This window comes from Homo sapiens, chromosome 2 (genome assembly GCF_000001405.40).
Source record: "Homo sapiens chromosome 2, GRCh38.p14 Primary Assembly".
NCBI lineage: Eukaryota > Metazoa > Chordata > Mammalia > Primates > Hominidae > Homo > Homo sapiens.
The window spans coordinates 10,421,678-10,437,725 of NC_000002.12; the positions used below are offsets into that span (position 1 = coordinate 10,421,678).

The window sequence follows — 16,048 nt, forward strand, 5'->3', positions numbered from 1 at the left end:
GTGACAGAGTGAGACCCTGCCTCCAAAAAGACCAAAAGCAAAATAAGAAAAAAATGGAACTCTTCAGAAGGGGTGGTCCCATGGTAGGGAACTTCAGGGGTGGGCCTCCAGTAGCGGGTATCAAATCCGTGAACTTCTGCAGCAGCAGTGGCCCGCCTCAGGAATGAGCGACCCATTTCCCACGTAGATGGTTTTCACACTGTCAGAGTAAATTAACATGGGCTCGGGGAACTCTGGTACTGTCGTCACTTTCTGGCTCTTAGCTTCATGCAGTGGCGGAAGTAAGAATTCTATTCCCCAGGAATCACCCGTCCTGTCCTGTGTGTTAACCCTTACCCTTTGCAAATAGGTGTGCCTGTCACTGGCCGTGCAGAGGCTTGGTCAGAACATCAAGGCACTGGTAGAACTGTTCCAAGCAGTGAGGAGCAGCCACTTCTGTCCAAACGGGACAGCCCCCAAACCAAGTCCCCAAACCCTGAAAGCCTTCCCCCGACGCCATCGATGGCTCCCTGGCCGGCTGGGTGGTGTTTCTCATGGGACACTTGGTTGCTACCTCTTTCTCACAATGAGAAAATGGTCTGTTGTCAGGAATGAGAATATCAAGCCACCTTCACGTGGAGTGCTCAGAAAATCCCACAGCAGTGCCACCACTCCCCACGCATGTCACTCTGCTCAGTGGCCACTCACCAGTCCCATCACCGTCTCCTCTGTACACCCACCAGCAGCACAGAGTCACATGCCCCAGGCTGGGCCACTCAGGCAGAGACACGCAGAGAGACCAGTGGCTAGACTGAGCCCTCGGCTGACAGTGCCCTAAACAGGCCATGGAGACCCCAGTGCTGCTGCTTCCTGTCCTGTCGGGGCTGGTGATGGGGCTTGCCCTGTGAGTTTCAGGGACTCAGTCTCTTTTAAACTGAGGGGTAACAGCCATGGAGTAAAATGCACACAGCTCAGCAGGCAGTGTGGGGAATTTCACACATCTGTGACCACCACTCTCCCTCAGCATTCCCAGCCCCCGACAGGGACACTTAGGCACCTTCCTGGCACTACCCACCCCCAGGCAGAGATACCAGCACCCTCACCACCCTCCCAGTAGAACCCTTCTGCCAGCTCTGCTCTTGAACTTCACATAGACACCCGTGAGGTTCACTAGGGAACATTCTCCCCACTGGGGAAGGGTCCCGAAGGCCACCGGGAGCCCCTGACCTCTCCGAGCCTTGTTGTGGGCTGGGCGGAAGCCCACCCTTGCTGCACCCGCCCAAGCCCCCGGGCCTCTGAGCACAGTGTCATTGCCCCCATCCGCAGGCCATCTACAAGATGGTGTCGTCTGTGATGAAGATGCCGGAGGATGAGTCCACCCCGGAGAAGCGCACAGACAAGATCTTCAGGCAGATGGACACCAACAATGACGGTAGTGCGGGGTGGGGGCGGGGCTGCATGTGTACGCCACGGTAGGGGCAAAACCATGTGGTTTGGGGCACCCCCTCCCCTCTGCAGCTTCTTGGTCTCCTGAGGGCCACCCCCGCCCGCCACCTGCCTGGCGCCTGCCATGCCCAGGGAAGAGCGGGATGCAGTCAGGGACACCCGTGCTGTATCCTGGCTCCTCTGTGCAGCTTTGTGATGCTGGGCATGTTGTGGCCTCTCTGAGCCACTGTCTCCCCACTTATAGAATCGGGCATACCCATATTCCCGTGGGTACAATGTTTAGGGGCAGGGAGGCAAGCATGCTGGTGGCCCTGAACCTGGAGGGGTTGAGATCAAAGGATCCCAGATGTTGGGGTCCTGGGGTGCTGGCCATGCCTCTCTTGCTGCCATCCTGAGAGAAGAAGCTGCCCAGATGGCCCCAGTGTCCAAGGGGAACTGTCAGGATGTACGCTGCCACCTTGTCCACCTACAGCAGCTCTGTGGAGACTCAGCCCCACTGCAGAAGTGCAAGTCTCACGATGGTGGGTGGCAGCAGTGGTGACAGGGCTGTGCCTCGAGTGCCCTCCTCTGCATTGGCTGTGAGGTGAGGGCGGCTGTGCGGCCCTCCCATTCTGCTCTTCTTGCCGGCTTTGTCAAGAGCAGCCACAGCACCAGGTTTGCTTTGCTTTTGAGCAATAAAGAAACACGACCTTAAGAAGAGAAAATACAGGCTGGGCGCAGTGGCTCACGCCTGTAATCCCAGCACTTTGGGAGGCCGAGGTGGGCAGATCACGAGGTCAGGAGATCGAGACCATCCTGGCTAACACGGTGAAACCCCGTCTCTGCTAAAAATACAAAAAAATTAGCCAGGCGTGGTGGCGGGCGCCTGTAGTCCCAGCTACTCGGGAGGCTGAGGCAGGAGAATGGTGTGAACCCGGGAGGCAGAGCTTGCAGTGAGCCGAGATCGCACCACTGCACTCCAGCCTGGGCGATAGAGTGAGACTCCATCTCAAAAAAATAAAGAGGAAATACTCCCTGGGTTGTGCTGGGGATTAAACGATAAGCTAATGCCCAAGAAGCTGCTCTGCGAAGTCTGGAGTGCAGCCCTCGGGTGAGTTAAGCATGGCCCCAGCGGGAGACGGGATGTGGGGGAGCTGTAAGCAGCAAAGAGCATTCCAGGCAGCCAGGTCACAGTTTCAAAACACACACACACAGAAAACAAGGCTGCCTGGTGCCTGGCGTTGCCTTTGGGCTGATGGGAAATGTGTGTTCCACCCTCCAGCCTAGCAGGGCACCTGCTGCCGCTCTCCTGAGGCTGTCCGCTCCTCGTGGGGATGGTGAATCCGGTCCCATGGGGTTGTGAGGTTTCAGCGAGATGATGCCTTAAAGCTTTTAGCAGGGCTTGCACTCCACAAATAATGGCTGTTGTTCCCAACTTCACAGTGTCCCTGGGGAAGCCACCCATGGTCACTCGCTGCCCGAATCTGCCTCCTGGCTTGGCCCTGCCCACCTCTTCAGAGGGCATCTTCTAGGTTGGTTGGGAATTTGGATGGCATGGTCGTTGCTAATGTGCCTGCTGGGATGGAGCACTTCCTCCTGTGAGCCCAGGGGACCCGCCTGTCCCTGGAGCTTGGGGCAAGGAGGGAAGAGTGATACCAGGAAGGTGGGGCTGCAGCCAGGGGCCAGAGTCAGTTCAGGGAGTGGTCCTCGGCCCTCAAAGCTCCTCCGGGGACTGCTCAGGAGTGATGGTGCCCTGGAGTTTGCCCCAACTTCCCTGGCCACCCTGGAAGGTGCCTGGCTGCTCCAGGCCTCTAGGCTGGGCTGATGGGTTTCTCCAGGACACAAGTATCATTAAAGCCACCCTCTCCTCAGCTTGTCAGGCCGCACATGTGGGACAGGCTGTGCTCAGCAACCCCCTCGCCTGCCCTGCCCTCCATCAGGAGGAGCCAGTGGAACCTTCGGAAGCTCCCAGCATCTCAGCAGCCCTCAGAGTCGTCCTGGGGCAGCTCTGGTTCTCCTGACTGGAGGTCCATCTGGGCTGGCCTGCTCTCTCTCGGCCTGAGACAGGAGGGCCTGGGGTCAGGAACTGGAAGTGGGGAGGCTGGGGCCGTGGACTCTGAGGCCCCACACCTAGCCAAGGAGATGACCACACAGCTGGCTGCCCTGAGTGGTCAGAGGTGGAGGGTGGGGAGCCACTCTCTCCATTGGCAGAGGTTCCTGGGGACTGTCTGCTGAGGGCCTGGCTGTCCCTCCCTCTCCCTACCCACCCCTTAGCCCGGGCATTGTTTGGGCTCTCTTGGGGCCAGCAGGCTGCCCAGGCCCCAGAGGCATCAAGTTCGTGCCCTGGAAGAAGCCAGCCTGCCCAAGCCTGGGCCAGAGTCCCATGAGGACAGGTGTCCCTGCCTGCCAGTGGGCTGGAGGGGCTGAATTCCCAGCAGGGCCCTACTGTGCAGGGGCATCCTCCGTCCTGGTGCTGGTCTGAGTCCTCAAATGCATCCTCCCAGGTGCCTTTGAGATGGGTGTTCCCATTATCCCACCTTCGAGACGAAGATCCTGAGACCTGGAAACGTTGGTGGCTTGCCATGCGCCAGAGCCGAGAGCCCCTCCTGCATGCCTTCCCCTGTGCTGGGCCTGGCTGCATGCGTCTGTGTTGCCTGCACAGACATTTTGCAGGGTGCCCTAGTGATTCCAGCTGACAGCACAGAGCCTCAAACAGACACATGGAGGGGCTGCCCCAGGACCAGGCCGCCAGGACGCAGCCAACCTCAAACCTCATCCTTCCCCACCAGCTGGAGCCAGAGGGACCGCCTCCTGCCCTTGAGGCCATGTCTGAACGGGCAGAATCCTTACAGCCTATCCTGCTTGTGGACTAGCAGAGCCAGGGCTATAGTGACCACAGTGTGAGCTCATTGACAGCGGTTATGGGATGGGGAGCGGAGGGTCAGAAAACCTCACCCCACCCAGCTCAGCCGATCAGCCTTACGGAGCCCTGCCCTAGGCCACGAGCCTCCAGAGGCCACTCAGCCCAGTGTGGAGTCACCGAGTCTGTGTCCTGGGAGAGGGAATATGTTGTCACCAGCATTGGATGCGGAGGATGAGGGGGCAGCTGATTCCTTAGCACGACCAATCTTTTTCTAGGTTTTCCTCTCACCGCATGGGGCCAAAACAGTACAGAGCATGAGTTTGGTACCCCAAGCCTGAGCAGCGGGTCTACGCTGATGCCAGGGAGGATCCGGACCGTGCTTCCGGGGGCCCCCAACCAGCATGGCCTTCTCAGCCTGGATTCTGTATGGGTTAGAGGCAAATGCTTCATTTTTCTGCACAGTGTACACGTTCCTTAATAAGCGAAGTGTGGGGTGATTTCTAAAAGGATTTAAATGGCCCTCATCAGCCACGTCCTGCTGAGCTTGCTGGGTAAGCCCTTTGAGGTACCTGATGTATTGCAGGGAGCAGGGAAAGGAAAAAGGATTTTTTTTCAGAAATGCCTGTAAAGTGAATGGAGACTAGACACCGTCCAGCTTCAAGAAGGCTCAGGACTTTCAACAAAGGGAGCATACCTGACCTGAGAGCTGTCCCCATCCTCTCTGGAAGCATAAAGAACAGTGAGCACTGGCTAATCCCATTGTCTCTGGTCCCCTGCAGGCAAACTGTCCTTGGAAGAATTCATCAGAGGTGCCAAGAGCGACCCCTCCATCGTCCGCCTGCTGCAGTGCGACCCCAGCAGTGCCAGTCAGTTCTGAGCGAGCGGCCCCTGGACAGTTGCAGAGAAACACAGGCTTGTCGTGCCGTTTAAGCTTTGCTTGCAAGAGTGGATGCCCCGCAATCGTTCCTGCTCTCCCGGGCCCCGGGCCTGGGGCATGCGTTGCACCTGCCCAGCCCGGTGGCTGCGCCTCCCTCCTCCACCTGACCAACGCGACATTCCTCCCCTCACGCCTGGCCCGGTCCCTTCCAGGGCAACTCCCAGGGATGTGGTGACATGCAGGGTTCAAGTGTTCTTGGTTCCAGGCACCTCCCGGCTCACGGGGAGCTCAGAGGTCCATGCCGAGGAGACCAGGCAGGACCTCCCGAGGCTGCGCCCCGGCCGGCCCATGCGTTTTGTGATCCCAAGTGACTCTGTGGGAAGGGTGGGGACGAGGCGTCGGGAGGGTATACAGGGAGCCCCTCCCGTGCATGGCTGCCCCCCCGTTCATTTTCTCCACCACAGCCGCTTGCACGTATAGATACTGTGGTCCCCTTTCTTTTAATATATAAATTATGTATGGTGAAGTGGAGTGTATTGTGTAGGTCCCGTATTTAATGCCTCTGACTGCCTTTGAAGCGCAGCCCTCTGTGGCCCGCAGCCCCCTGAGCCTGGCTGTTGTGTGGTATTTATGCTCTCTTTGTCTGCCTGTTTCTAAGGAAATGCATGTGTGCCCTGAGCCGTGATGATCCTCCCATCCGTGTTGTGAGCACAGGCATTTGTGTCTGGTCTGTCCTCCCTGTTGATTGGTCTGGCATTTCCGGTATTAAAATGATAAAATAAATGGCATTTTCTGAGTTTTGCGTCTGCCCGCGGGAGCCCCCATTCCTCAGGCCGTGGCCCCTGCACTCTCCAGGCAAGGCGGGTGTGCTGCGTGCCACCGCTGTTGGTAAATCCGGCCCCTCTTACGTCCCTCCAGCTGTCCCCGCGTTTATAAATCTTGCACAGCCTGTTCTTCAATATCTGCCTAATGCCAAGAAATACTCGTGGAAATAAACGATGACTGTTCTTGGCAGATCTGACGGTCAGGCTTCTGCCTCCCCCCAGCCCTTCCCTCTCCTTCTCCTTCCACGGTTTCAGGTCGTAGGAAAGCCACATTCCAAGAGAGGACGGGCATAGCCAAGGGTGCAGTCAGGCTGGACCCAGAGGTGGCAGGCCTGGTTCTCCATCCAGCCTTCGCCGCTGCCGTCAGTGCTTCTGGTCCCAGCAGCAGAAGGCCCAGCTGAAGAAGTGGGGGTTGGTTGGTCTCGCCTGCCAAGGGATCCAAAGGCAGCATCGCTGGGGATCCCCAGGCATCAGCTTGTCTTTTTTTTTTTCTTTTTTTAAGAGAGAGTGTCTCTCTATGTTGCCCAGGCTGGCCTCAACCTCCTGGGCTCCAGCAATCCTTTCGCATCAGCCTCCTGAGTAGCTGGGACCTCGGGTGAACAGCACTGCGCCTCCTAATCACAGTCAGCTTTTCACCTCAGGCTTGTCTTCCTGGGGTGCCTACAACTGCTGTTGTGGTTCTGGGCAGTACAGCTGACATGGGAGCATCAAGAGGCAGGGAGAGAAGCCTCTGTCCTCCCACTGAGGGACAGGAAAACCCTCCAGAATCTGCCCACCACCCCGTCCCCACCAGCCCCACATCTCATGGCTGAAACCATGGCCTGTGTTCACAAGATGACCATGTCATGGCCACGGCTGGCTTACGCTGGTCAAGATGGCCCTTGGCCAAGGTGGCATCTGCCTCCCCCAGAGGGCATAGGGTTGGGAAGGGGTGAGTGGAATGGAGGTTCTATTACCAGGACGGGCACTACGGCGTCTGCCCACCTGCCTGCTGCTGTCGGCTCCTCTGTGCCTCAGTGTCTTCACTGTAGGGGATGGGGGGAGCTGGGTGGCTCAAGGTCACATATGCAAAGCGCATGGCTTGGAACCTGCCTCCCAGCAGGCCTTCAGCAACAGCAGCTAATTTGTTGATTTTAGTCATTTTAATATTTTTTAAGACTCCATGTCTCTTTTAATAGAAATGGTGAGTCTGTTTGCCAAGTGCCTTCTGAGTCAATGGCACTGCTAGAGCTATTTCATAGTAAAACTCTCCATGCACCCAGAGCCACCAAGCCTTGATGGGGGAACCAGGTGGGGTGCGAGATGGAGGCCAGGTGCCCTGGGCAGATCTAGCTTGCTACAAAGAGGCAAGACGGTGCCTTTGGCAACACTGCCTCACCTGGAAGAACAGCCAGTGAACGGCTTGAATTTTATAAACATTTAACTGGGACTGGCAAAGGTTAAATCAAGAGTGCTTGTTGTGGGGAGGGCTCACTTATGATGGGGACAGAGTCCAACAGAAACAGATGGGAGTGACCACTACATTAGTCAGGGTTCTCCAGGAACAGAACTGATAGGAGACATGCATGGATGGGAGGGGTGGGTGGATGGATGGGTGGGTGGGTGGGTGGATGGATGGATGGATGGATGTATGGATGAGTGGGTGAGGGGATGGGTGGGTGAATGGATGGGTGGGTGGATGCATAGACAGGTGGATGCATGGATGGGTGGATGGATGGCTGGGTGGATGGGTTGGTGAATGGGTGGGTCGGTGGGTGGATCGATAGGTGGATGGGTGGGTCGATGGATGGGTCGGTGGGTAGATGGATGGATGGGAGTATGGGTGGATGGGTGGGTGGGTGGATGGGTCCCTAGGTGGATCGGTTGATGGATGAATGGGTGGCTGGATGGATGGATGGATGGGTGGATGGATGGTTGGGTGGGTGGGTGGATGGATGGATGGGTGGATGGGTGGGTGAATGGTTGGGTGGGTGGGTGGATGCATGCATGGGTGGGTGGGTGGGTGGGTGGATGGATGGATGGATGGATGGGTGAATGGTTGGGTGGGTGGGTAGATGCATGGATGGGTTGGTGGGTGGGTGGCTGGATGGATGGGTGGATGGGTGGGCAGGTGGGTGGATGTATGTATGTATGGATGGGTGGGTGATTGGTTGGATGGGAGGGTGGATGCATGGATGGGTGGGCGGGTGGGTGGATGGATGGATGGATGGATGGATGGATGGATGGATGAATGGGTAGGCGAATGGATGGTTAGATAGATGTATTTATCATAAGGAATTGGCTTATACGTGATTATGGAGGCTGAGAGGTCCCAAGGAGACAAGCAGCCCTGTCCCCTGTAGACAGAGGTCAGCAAGCTGGGGACCCAGGAGAGCTAATGGTGTAGTTCCAGTCTGAATCTTAAGGGAGGAGGAGGCCAATGTCCCAGCTCAAGACTGTGAGGCAAAGAACAAATTCTCAGGCTTTTGTCCTATTCAGGCCTTCAGCTGAGTGGATGAGGACCCCCACATTGGGGAGGGGGATCTGCTTTACCCCACCTGGTTCCCCCATTGGTCACCAGTTCCAATGTCAAATTCATCCAAAAGCACCCTCACAGGCACACCCAAAATAATCGGTTTGCCCAAATGTCTGGGTACCCCCTGGCCCAGTCATGTTGACACATAAAATTAACCATTATAACCACCTCTGCTCAGATATGGAGGAGGTAGATATGGGGATCCTAGTGGACCCTGCCCTACAAGGAGCTCACAGAAGCCAGTATGATTTGTCCAGGAGTCCAGTGCTCTCTGGGAAGGCAGGGAATTGAACCCCAAAGATGGTGTCCCTGTGCCAAGAAGCCCAGCCTATCAGAGGAGGAAAGAACCCAGAAGTGAACCCAAAACTGTCGTCCATGCCACCCACCCAGCAGGAGGCCTCCTCAGTCTCTTCCTTTGTCCGGGATCAGGATCTTTCAGGGCGGGTTGTTAGAAAGTGTCTCGGCTGGGTGCGGTGGCTCACGCCTGTAATCACAGCACTTTGGGAGGCCAAAGCGGGTGGATCATGAGGTCAGGAAATCGAGACCATTCTGGCTAACACGGTGAAACCCCGTCTCTACTAAAAATATAAAAAATTAGCCGGGCATGGTGGTGGGCGCCTGTAGTCCCAGCTACTCAGGAGGCTGAGGCAGGAGAATGGCGTAAACCCAGAAGTCGGAGGTTGCAGTGAGCCGAGACGGTGCCACTGCACTGTAGCCTGGGTGACAGAGACTCTGTCTCAAAAAAAAAAAAAAAAAGAAAGAAAGTGTCTCCACCTGTCCTTCCCTGGTAATTTGCAGTACTGGCCCTGGGCCTGCTTCCTCTTCCTCCAACCACCTCCTTCTGCAAGCTTCTCTCTTGTCCTGCCTTCTCCTTGCCCCAGGGGATCCCAGACCCTTTGCCATCCTGCACGGGCACTCCAAGTTGTTAAAGTTCCTTGGGAGTTGCATACAAGTGTCCCTTATCCTATAGACAGATAGAAGATCTAATCATGTACCTGCATAAGCAAGGCTTATGTGGGTGGACTCAACAGAAACTCTGGAAAATGGCTCCGGTGGCTCCATGGTCCCATCCACCAGCTGTCCTGACACTCACTGCATGGTGTCCCATGCTCACTGAGTAAATACAGGGTAATGGGAACAACTCCTGAGACAGGAAAATGTTTAGACTCGAAGGAAGGAAGCCCTGGAGTGTGGAGGGAAGGGTGGCAGTATGAGGTGTTAGTCCCAAGACAGTTCATCTAGTCAGGCCACGATGAACCCCTAGTAGGGCAAGACTGTCACCTCCCTTACTCTGAACCTTAGGCCTTAATTAATACAGCCCCAGGCATTTTCTGCTTGGGTAGACTGGCCTCCCGCGTGGGAACCAGCATTGAGCTAGCAAAACATTAGCTCCCATTTATCAAGGGTTTCCACGTACAGACACTGTTTAAAACTTTAAACGTCTAATTTAACCCTCCCATCAACCCTGCAATGTGGTATCACTACCACATTATACAGATTGATAATGCTGGTTTAAGAGAAGTTAAGTAACTAGCCTGAAATCCTTAGCAAGAGGTGGCAGAATCAGGAATTGAAAGAAGGATCAGCTCCCAAGTCCGAGGTGCGTCTTCTCCCGATTCCAGAAAGGTCTTCCAGTAGCTGGGCTGGAGCCGGGTCCATGTTTCCTTGCCAGCGGCCTCCTTCAGGGCCCCTGGTGTCTAGAGAAATGAAGGAGTTTCTCCCTGGGTCCCTGAACAAGACTTAAACGCACTGTATTTGTGGCACCCAGGCCTGACTCCCTCCCCACCCCGTGCCAGGTCACGCCCTAGTGGAGAAGGGGGCGCGCCTCCCCACCACTGCCTGAGGGGCGCCCTCCTGAGCGCCCGTTTCTCAGGGCGGGGCACTGGACTCCGAATGGAACCCTCCCCTCCTTGCCGGGCTTAGGCAGGTACGTCATTAGATCTTCTATCTGCCTCTTGAGATCAGGGGTGCGCATGAGCAGGGACCCAAAACGGGGGTCCAGTTAGGATCACAGCCCCCCAAGAGGAGACAGAACCCACAGGACCTTCAGGCTTCTGAGAGGGACCTCGTGGGCCCCGGAAAAGGTATTTAGAAAAACAGGAGTTCGGCCTTGGGTTCATCCGTGGCGTGGCCTTCCCCCAGCCGCCTTGCCCTGGGCTGGGCGCCGTTGGGAATCAAACCCACACGCCTGGGGAGCTGCCAGCCAGCGGGAGCCTCGGCCGTCGGGGAACAGACTCCGGCTTGGGGCAGCCTGGCAGCCCTGAAAGGAACAAGAAGAAAATGGAGCTGTGGGGCAGGGGCGGGGCTCGGCTCGAGAGGCAAGTGGTCCCGCGCTAGTCCCACCTGTCACCAGCCACCCAGTCCTGCCGCTCTGACCCCGCCACTGCGGCGCAGGGGCCTGGTGCCCGCTGGTCCTGGGCTCCGGCTCCGGGTCGGCAGCGATGTATCCCGGCCCAGAGTGGGGCGGGGTAGGGCAGGGCCAAGGTCAGTTTCCTTTAAGCTGGGCACGCCCTCTCCTTGGCTTGGGGCTCCCTTACTGTGGCCTGGGAAGAGGTCTCAGAGGAGAAGGGGTGATGCTGGAGACACGGTGGCGAAGGAGCACTGCGGCCTGGGCCCCGGGGGGCAGCTGTTTATCCAGCAAACACCTCCCCAGGGCCAGCGCGGGGCATGGCACAGCAGGGCACTGCCGGGGCGCAGGAGCTGCGGGGGCGGGTACAGCCTGCCTGGGGCAGGAGGCTGGGGAGGGTGGGAGGGAGCTCGGGAGGAGGGGTGACTGAGGCCAGCGGGGGCGGGCGGGGCGGCAGCCCCTGGAGGGCCCCTGGAAGGCCTCAGCTCCTCCGGCTCTTCCCAGCGGGCTGTGTGACTGTACCATGGGGCCCCGACCTGAAGGGGCCACCTGCCTCCTGCAGTTCACGGGAAGGCAGACCCTGGCCCGCCCTGGAGCCACCTGCCCACGGCCTCTTCCAGCTGCAGCCAGGCCCTCCGGGCTCGAGCGGGCTCATCCACTAGGTGTGTGTGTGTGCGTCTGTGTGTTGTCTTGGGTGTGTGTGTGGCTGGGGCATGTGGTCTTAGTGTGTGCTGTGGATGTGTGTGGTGTGTTTGGGTGTGTGGGAATGGTGTGGGGATGGTGTGACTTTGTGTGTGATGTCGAGGTGTGTGGTGTGTTTGCATGTGTGGTGGTGTGTGGGCATGGTGTGACCGTGTGTGCGATGTGTATGTGTGTGGTATGTTTGCGTGTGTGGTGGTGTGTGGGGCATGGTGTGACTTTGTGTGATGTGGATGTGTGTGGTGTATTTGCGTGTGTAGTGGTGTGTGAGGGATGGTGTGACTGTGTGTGTGCTGTGGATGTGTGTGGTATGTTTGCGTGTGTGGTGGTGTGTGGGGCATGGTGTAACTATGTGTACATGTGTGTGTTGTGGATGCATGTGTGTCTGTGTGTGTCATGGTGTGTGGGGCATGGTGTAACTGTGTATGCTGTGGATGTGTGTGGTGGTGTGTGCTGTGTGTGAGTGGCATTGCGTGTGCTGTGAATGTGTGTGGTGGTGTGTACTGTACTGTGTGTGTGTGTGTGTGTGTGTGTGTGGCATTGCGTGTGCTGTGGTGGACCCGAGTCCACAGGTGGGTGGCTTCTGGAGTGCCACATGAGGCTGTTGAGTGGCAGCCCTGACAGCTCATTCCAGGAGGGCCAGGTGGGGTGCCTGTCTCCGTGGCCTGAGAGGCTGGGCCTGGGCTCTGGGCACCCTGCTCCCCTTCCTGGCCCACCTGGGCCCACAGTGGCCTCCCTCCACACTGAGCTTCCCTGCACCAGGCCTGTCCTAGGCCTCCATGTCCCCTCCTCCAGAGGTCGCCTTCGGTGACCTCATCAAATTACTCTGGTCGTCTCCACCCTGAAGCCCTGCGAGGCTGCTCAGGAATGAGTGGGGATGAATGAATGAAGGGAGGGTCAGCAGGTGGCTCTGCTCTGTCTTCACGCAGCTGGAACCGCATGAGCTTATGCCCTGGACACACACTGAGACCCAGGCCAAGTCCCAGCTCCACCTCGAATGAGCCGCCTGGCACTGGACAAGCGCTGTGTCTTCATCTGTAAACCATGTGGTCAGGGAACCAGGGGCAGAGGGAGGGGCTGCAGGGCCTTGAGGGGAATGGCAAGGGTCCTCAGGGGCAGGACCTGACCTCCAGGTTCCTGGGGACCTCCGAAGGTGGGGGCCCCAGGGTTAGGGTCAGGCACCCTGGCAGGGATGGCAGAGCATGGGAGCCATGTGTGCGGGTGTCTTGTGGGGTGTGTGTGAGGCTGGGGCATGTGGTCTTAGTGTGCGCTGTGGATGTGTGTGGTGTGTTTGCATGTGTGGTAGTGTGTGGGGGATGGGGAGGGCGGCACAGGCAGCCTCAGGTGGGCTCTGCCTCTGGCTCAGGGACAGGTGCCAGGCACCAGCCCCACAGGAGGGGTGGCGGGGGGAGATCTGCCCTCCGCCCACTCAGCCTATCATGGGGGGTGGTCAGGGGAGGCCGGGTGGGGTCACCAGTCGCTGGTGGGCACAGGGGAGGATTGGGAACACCTCAGAGGGGATTGGGGCCACTTCGGGGACGGGCAGGGGGACAGGCAGGACCAAGGCTGCAGGGCCCCACCAGCTGTACACAGGGCTGGTTCTACAACATGGGGCAGGGGTGCAGGGGCTGGGCTGGGGGCTTCACCTGGGGGGCCTCAGGAAGTGTTTTGGGGGTCAGGGGAGTGGTCTGGTCGGGGACTGGGCTGCCTGGTGCCCCTTCCTCAAAGCCCCCGGGACCCTGGAGTGGCTGAGTCGGGAGCTCTGGATCGAGGCCACGCTCCAGTCTCACAGCCCTGTGGCTGTCAAGGGCCCCCTGCGATAGTGGAGCTATCAGTGTTTGCCCAGTGGTCGAGTGATTTGACTGCCTTTTCCTGGCCCCGACCGCGCTGCCACCGCGGGGTGCTGCTGCCCCCTGGTGTCCATAGCTAGGAGGGCCATCCAGGGCTTGGGTGTGCGGGTTCCAGCTGGGCCTGCTTTCGAGAAAAGCTTTCTGTCCTGGGCGGCATTTGATGACAGAGGAGGATGCTGAGGCCCAGAGGAGCCCCTGACTTGTGGTGGGCCAAACGGCACACAAAAGCTGAGGCCAGGCTCCCGGTACCCAGGACCAGAGGCCTTATTGCCAGATAGGAATGCCAGATACAATACAGGGCACCCAGTTACACTTGAATTTCAGATCAACGAGAAGCAATTTTGCAGCTGACATATGTCCCGTGCAGTATCTTATCTTTGTGCTAAGTCTGGCAACCCTCCTTGAGAAGCCAGGGAGTGGGGCCTGCACAGCCCTGGGGCGGGTGAGAAGCTGGAAGGGCCAGGCCTTCTGACAGGCACCCCCAGGGCCAGGTGCATGACCCTCCTGGCGGAACCACCCAGGCCCAGACTGACCCTCGCCCAGCAGGGCACCAGGTCTCCTCCCCTGCGGAGCCACCCCCGAGCTGGCCCAGCCTGGAGACCCCCGCTCCCCAGCTCACAAGCTCACGGGCCTGAGCTCCACAAGTCACCTGACTGAGCTCCACCTAGGTAACCCCTGGCCAGTGGCAGAGCACGCCTGGTCACAGCCCTCTCCAGCCTGGAGTCAGTGCTGCATGTGGATAAAATTCTCCGAACTCCCAACAGCAGCAAGAATTCCGGAGGCGCTTCCACTCTGTGCCCTGCATTCGGGCCTTCACCAATCCTCCCTTGTAGCTGCCCTGCCGTGGGTGGGGGGCACCAGCTCAACCCCCACTCAGAAGGAGGCGGCCGTGGGGACCCCTGTGCCTAGTGAGGCATAGGGCCTGGGTCTGGCTAGTGCCTAGTGAGGTGTGGGGCCTGGGTCCAGCTTCGTCTGTCCAGCTCCAGCCGAAGCTGAAGCCACAGCAGGAATGCAGGGCCAGGTGCCACCGTCTGTGGTATTCCGGAGCCATGGGTGCTCGGGGCTGCCTCTGCCACCCTGGCAGGGAATAGGATTGGCAGAGAGCAGGGGCCGGGAACACGTTGCCCTTGGTGAGAGAAGGATGCCGCATTCTAGTCATGGTCATTGTTCAGCAAGAGCCCAGGAGCAGAAGCTGGCTGGCGAGGCAGGGCCCTGAGGACACCCAGGCCCTCCTTCTAACTTACAGACTCGCCTTGGACGAGTCACTTGGCCTCTCTGGGCTTCATCCCATCTGTAAAAAACAAGAACTGGGAGAACTCTGCAAAGCCTTTGCTTCACATGACGTCCTACCTTGAAACCCGATGGGTGAGATTGGGTGAGGCGGAGAAGGCAGAGCCCCCCACTTGCCCCCCTCACCCCCAGGCACTGAGGCTTCTCGGGAATCCCTGGTGGGGACAGAGCCCGATTTGAAATGGGTCGACTCTTGCCTTCAGGGGCAGTTTTCCAGCCGGGCCCAGAGATGGTGCAAAGCAAACCCCCAGATCCAGCATGGGGGAGGGCCCATGTCAAAGAGGGTACAGGGTGACAGCCAGAAAACCCCCTAAGCGGAAGGGGCTAGCCAGCCACTTCGAGTCACTTAGGAAAATCTAGTAAGGAGGGAACCTGCGAAGAGATGTGTGGTCCCAGTAGCAGAGGTCACTGCTGGGGTGTGACGAGCACATGACTTCACAAGACAAGCCGAGTGAGGCCCGGGAAGGGGCAGGCCCTACCCACGAGAAAGTGCAAAGTGGGCATCAGCCAGGGCTCAAGAGGGCCGCAGGGGGCACACGTGGCTTGCTCTGCCCACCGGCTTCTGGCCTGCCCTTGGTTGCTGCAGGCTATCTGTGAGGGGCAGTGCCTGGCCCTGACACTGTCGGGGAGGGAGGGGTTGACCACCTGCTGATGTGCCAGGAATGTTCCCATCTTTGGCTTCTGATGGGTCTGCTGCCTTCGTCGGCCTCATGAGCTGGGTTGGCATGAGCCAGCCCTCCTGGACCCTGCAAAGGTGAGGACCAGGTCGTGAGCAACTCTACCATGTCCCCCTGAGCCAGTCCACTGCCCAAGCCACCCTCCAGCTGCTTAACAGCATGTTCCCAGGGTAGGGAAACACCGAATGAATGCTGGGGTCCTCTGACCTGGCTTGAATGCTGCCTCACTATCTGCGTGACTTGAGTTCATCTCTGAGTTTATGTCTTCACGCGGGAAACCTATTTTACAATCCTCGTAAAGTCAGTAATACATTCCAATATCAAAAGCGCAGTGTGGAGCCAGTCCCCACTCTCGGCCCAGGCCTCTGGTTCTTCTGCCTAGAGGCAACCTCTGTTACCCGTTTCTTACAAGCTCTTCCAGAAATATGCCATGCATATGCAAGTATGTATGTACACACACAGTTTGTTGGGGTTTGATTTTGCTTTTTACACACACAGTAGCATACTACACGTGCCCCTTGCTTTGCTATCCTCACTGAATCTAGCTTGGAGCTTGTTCCTTATCAGTACTGATGAATCTGCTTCATTCCTTAACCACTGTATATCCCGTTCCATTGACAATTTCATCAGTACCTGCTTGTGTACAAGAGATTGTTTACAAATGATGCCACAATGAATAATTTTAGAAGAGTATCATCAGAG

At 57.9% G+C, this 16,048-nt stretch overlaps 1 protein-coding gene and 1 long non-coding RNA gene across 22 annotated transcripts in view, besides 5 other annotated features; one reads left to right on the forward strand and one right to left on the reverse strand.

Moving 5' to 3' along the window:
- The window catches only part of HPCAL1 (hippocalcin like 1), a 124,701-nt gene extending 118,774 nt beyond the window's left edge, over nucleotides 1–5,927 (forward strand). For 17 of the 20 annotated variants that reach the window (XM_047444095.1, XM_047444099.1, XM_005246163.2 and 14 more), the window contains 2 exons: nucleotides 1,306–1,411; nucleotides 5,047–5,927. In XM_047444095.1, the coding sequence (XP_047300051.1) occupies nucleotides 1,306–1,411; nucleotides 5,047–5,144 (204 nt within the window). In that variant the 3' untranslated portion in view covers nucleotides 5,145–5,927. Of the gene's footprint in view, nucleotides 1–1,305; nucleotides 1,412–2,847 lie in introns of all 20 variants that reach the window. The other 3 variants (XR_007073115.1, XM_011510349.3, XM_047444101.1) reach the window with 3 other exon arrangements.
- Nucleotides 3,086–3,898: an enhancer, noted in NCBI's record as "H3K4me1 hESC enhancer chr2:10564889-10565701 (GRCh37/hg19 assembly coordinates)". NCBI's record gives its function as "activates a minimal SCP1, AML or CMV promoter by ChIP-STARR-seq in primed H9 embryonic stem cells {active_cell/tissue: H9 hESC(primed)}" and the evidence as "EXISTENCE:reporter gene assay evidence [ECO:0000049][PMID:30033119]".
- A 3,981-nt stretch (nucleotides 5,928–9,908) lies between the features above and the next one.
- On the reverse strand, nucleotides 9,909–11,136 carry LOC124907732 (uncharacterized). 2 transcript variants are annotated; one of them, XR_007086214.1, is made up of 2 exons: nucleotides 11,021–11,136; nucleotides 9,909–10,180 (listed from the first exon to the last, which is right to left on the reverse strand). It is a non-coding gene; the product is annotated as an uncharacterized LOC124907732 (long non-coding RNA). The 2 variants fall into 2 exon arrangements; XR_007086213.1 differs by lacking the exon at nucleotides 11,021–11,136 and adding an exon at nucleotides 10,827–10,931.
- Nucleotides 10,942–11,907: an enhancer, noted in NCBI's record as "H3K4me1 hESC enhancer chr2:10572745-10573710 (GRCh37/hg19 assembly coordinates)". NCBI's record gives its function as "activates a minimal SCP1, AML or CMV promoter by ChIP-STARR-seq in naive H9 embryonic stem cells {active_cell/tissue: H9 hESC(naive)}" and the evidence as "EXISTENCE:reporter gene assay evidence [ECO:0000049][PMID:30033119]".
- Nucleotides 11,188–11,247: a silencer, noted in NCBI's record as "silent region_11164". NCBI's record gives its function as "represses an Ori minimal core promoter by ATAC-STARR-seq in GM12878 lymphoblastoid cells {active_cell/tissue: GM12878}" and the evidence as "EXISTENCE:reporter gene assay evidence [ECO:0000049][PMID:35858748]".
- Nucleotides 11,908–12,872: an enhancer, noted in NCBI's record as "H3K4me1 hESC enhancer chr2:10573711-10574675 (GRCh37/hg19 assembly coordinates)". NCBI's record gives its function as "activates a minimal SCP1, AML or CMV promoter by ChIP-STARR-seq in primed H9 embryonic stem cells {active_cell/tissue: H9 hESC(primed)}" and the evidence as "EXISTENCE:reporter gene assay evidence [ECO:0000049][PMID:30033119]".
- Nucleotides 13,517–13,566: an enhancer, noted in NCBI's record as "active region_15303". NCBI's record gives its function as "activates an Ori minimal core promoter by ATAC-STARR-seq in GM12878 lymphoblastoid cells {active_cell/tissue: GM12878}" and the evidence as "EXISTENCE:reporter gene assay evidence [ECO:0000049][PMID:35858748]".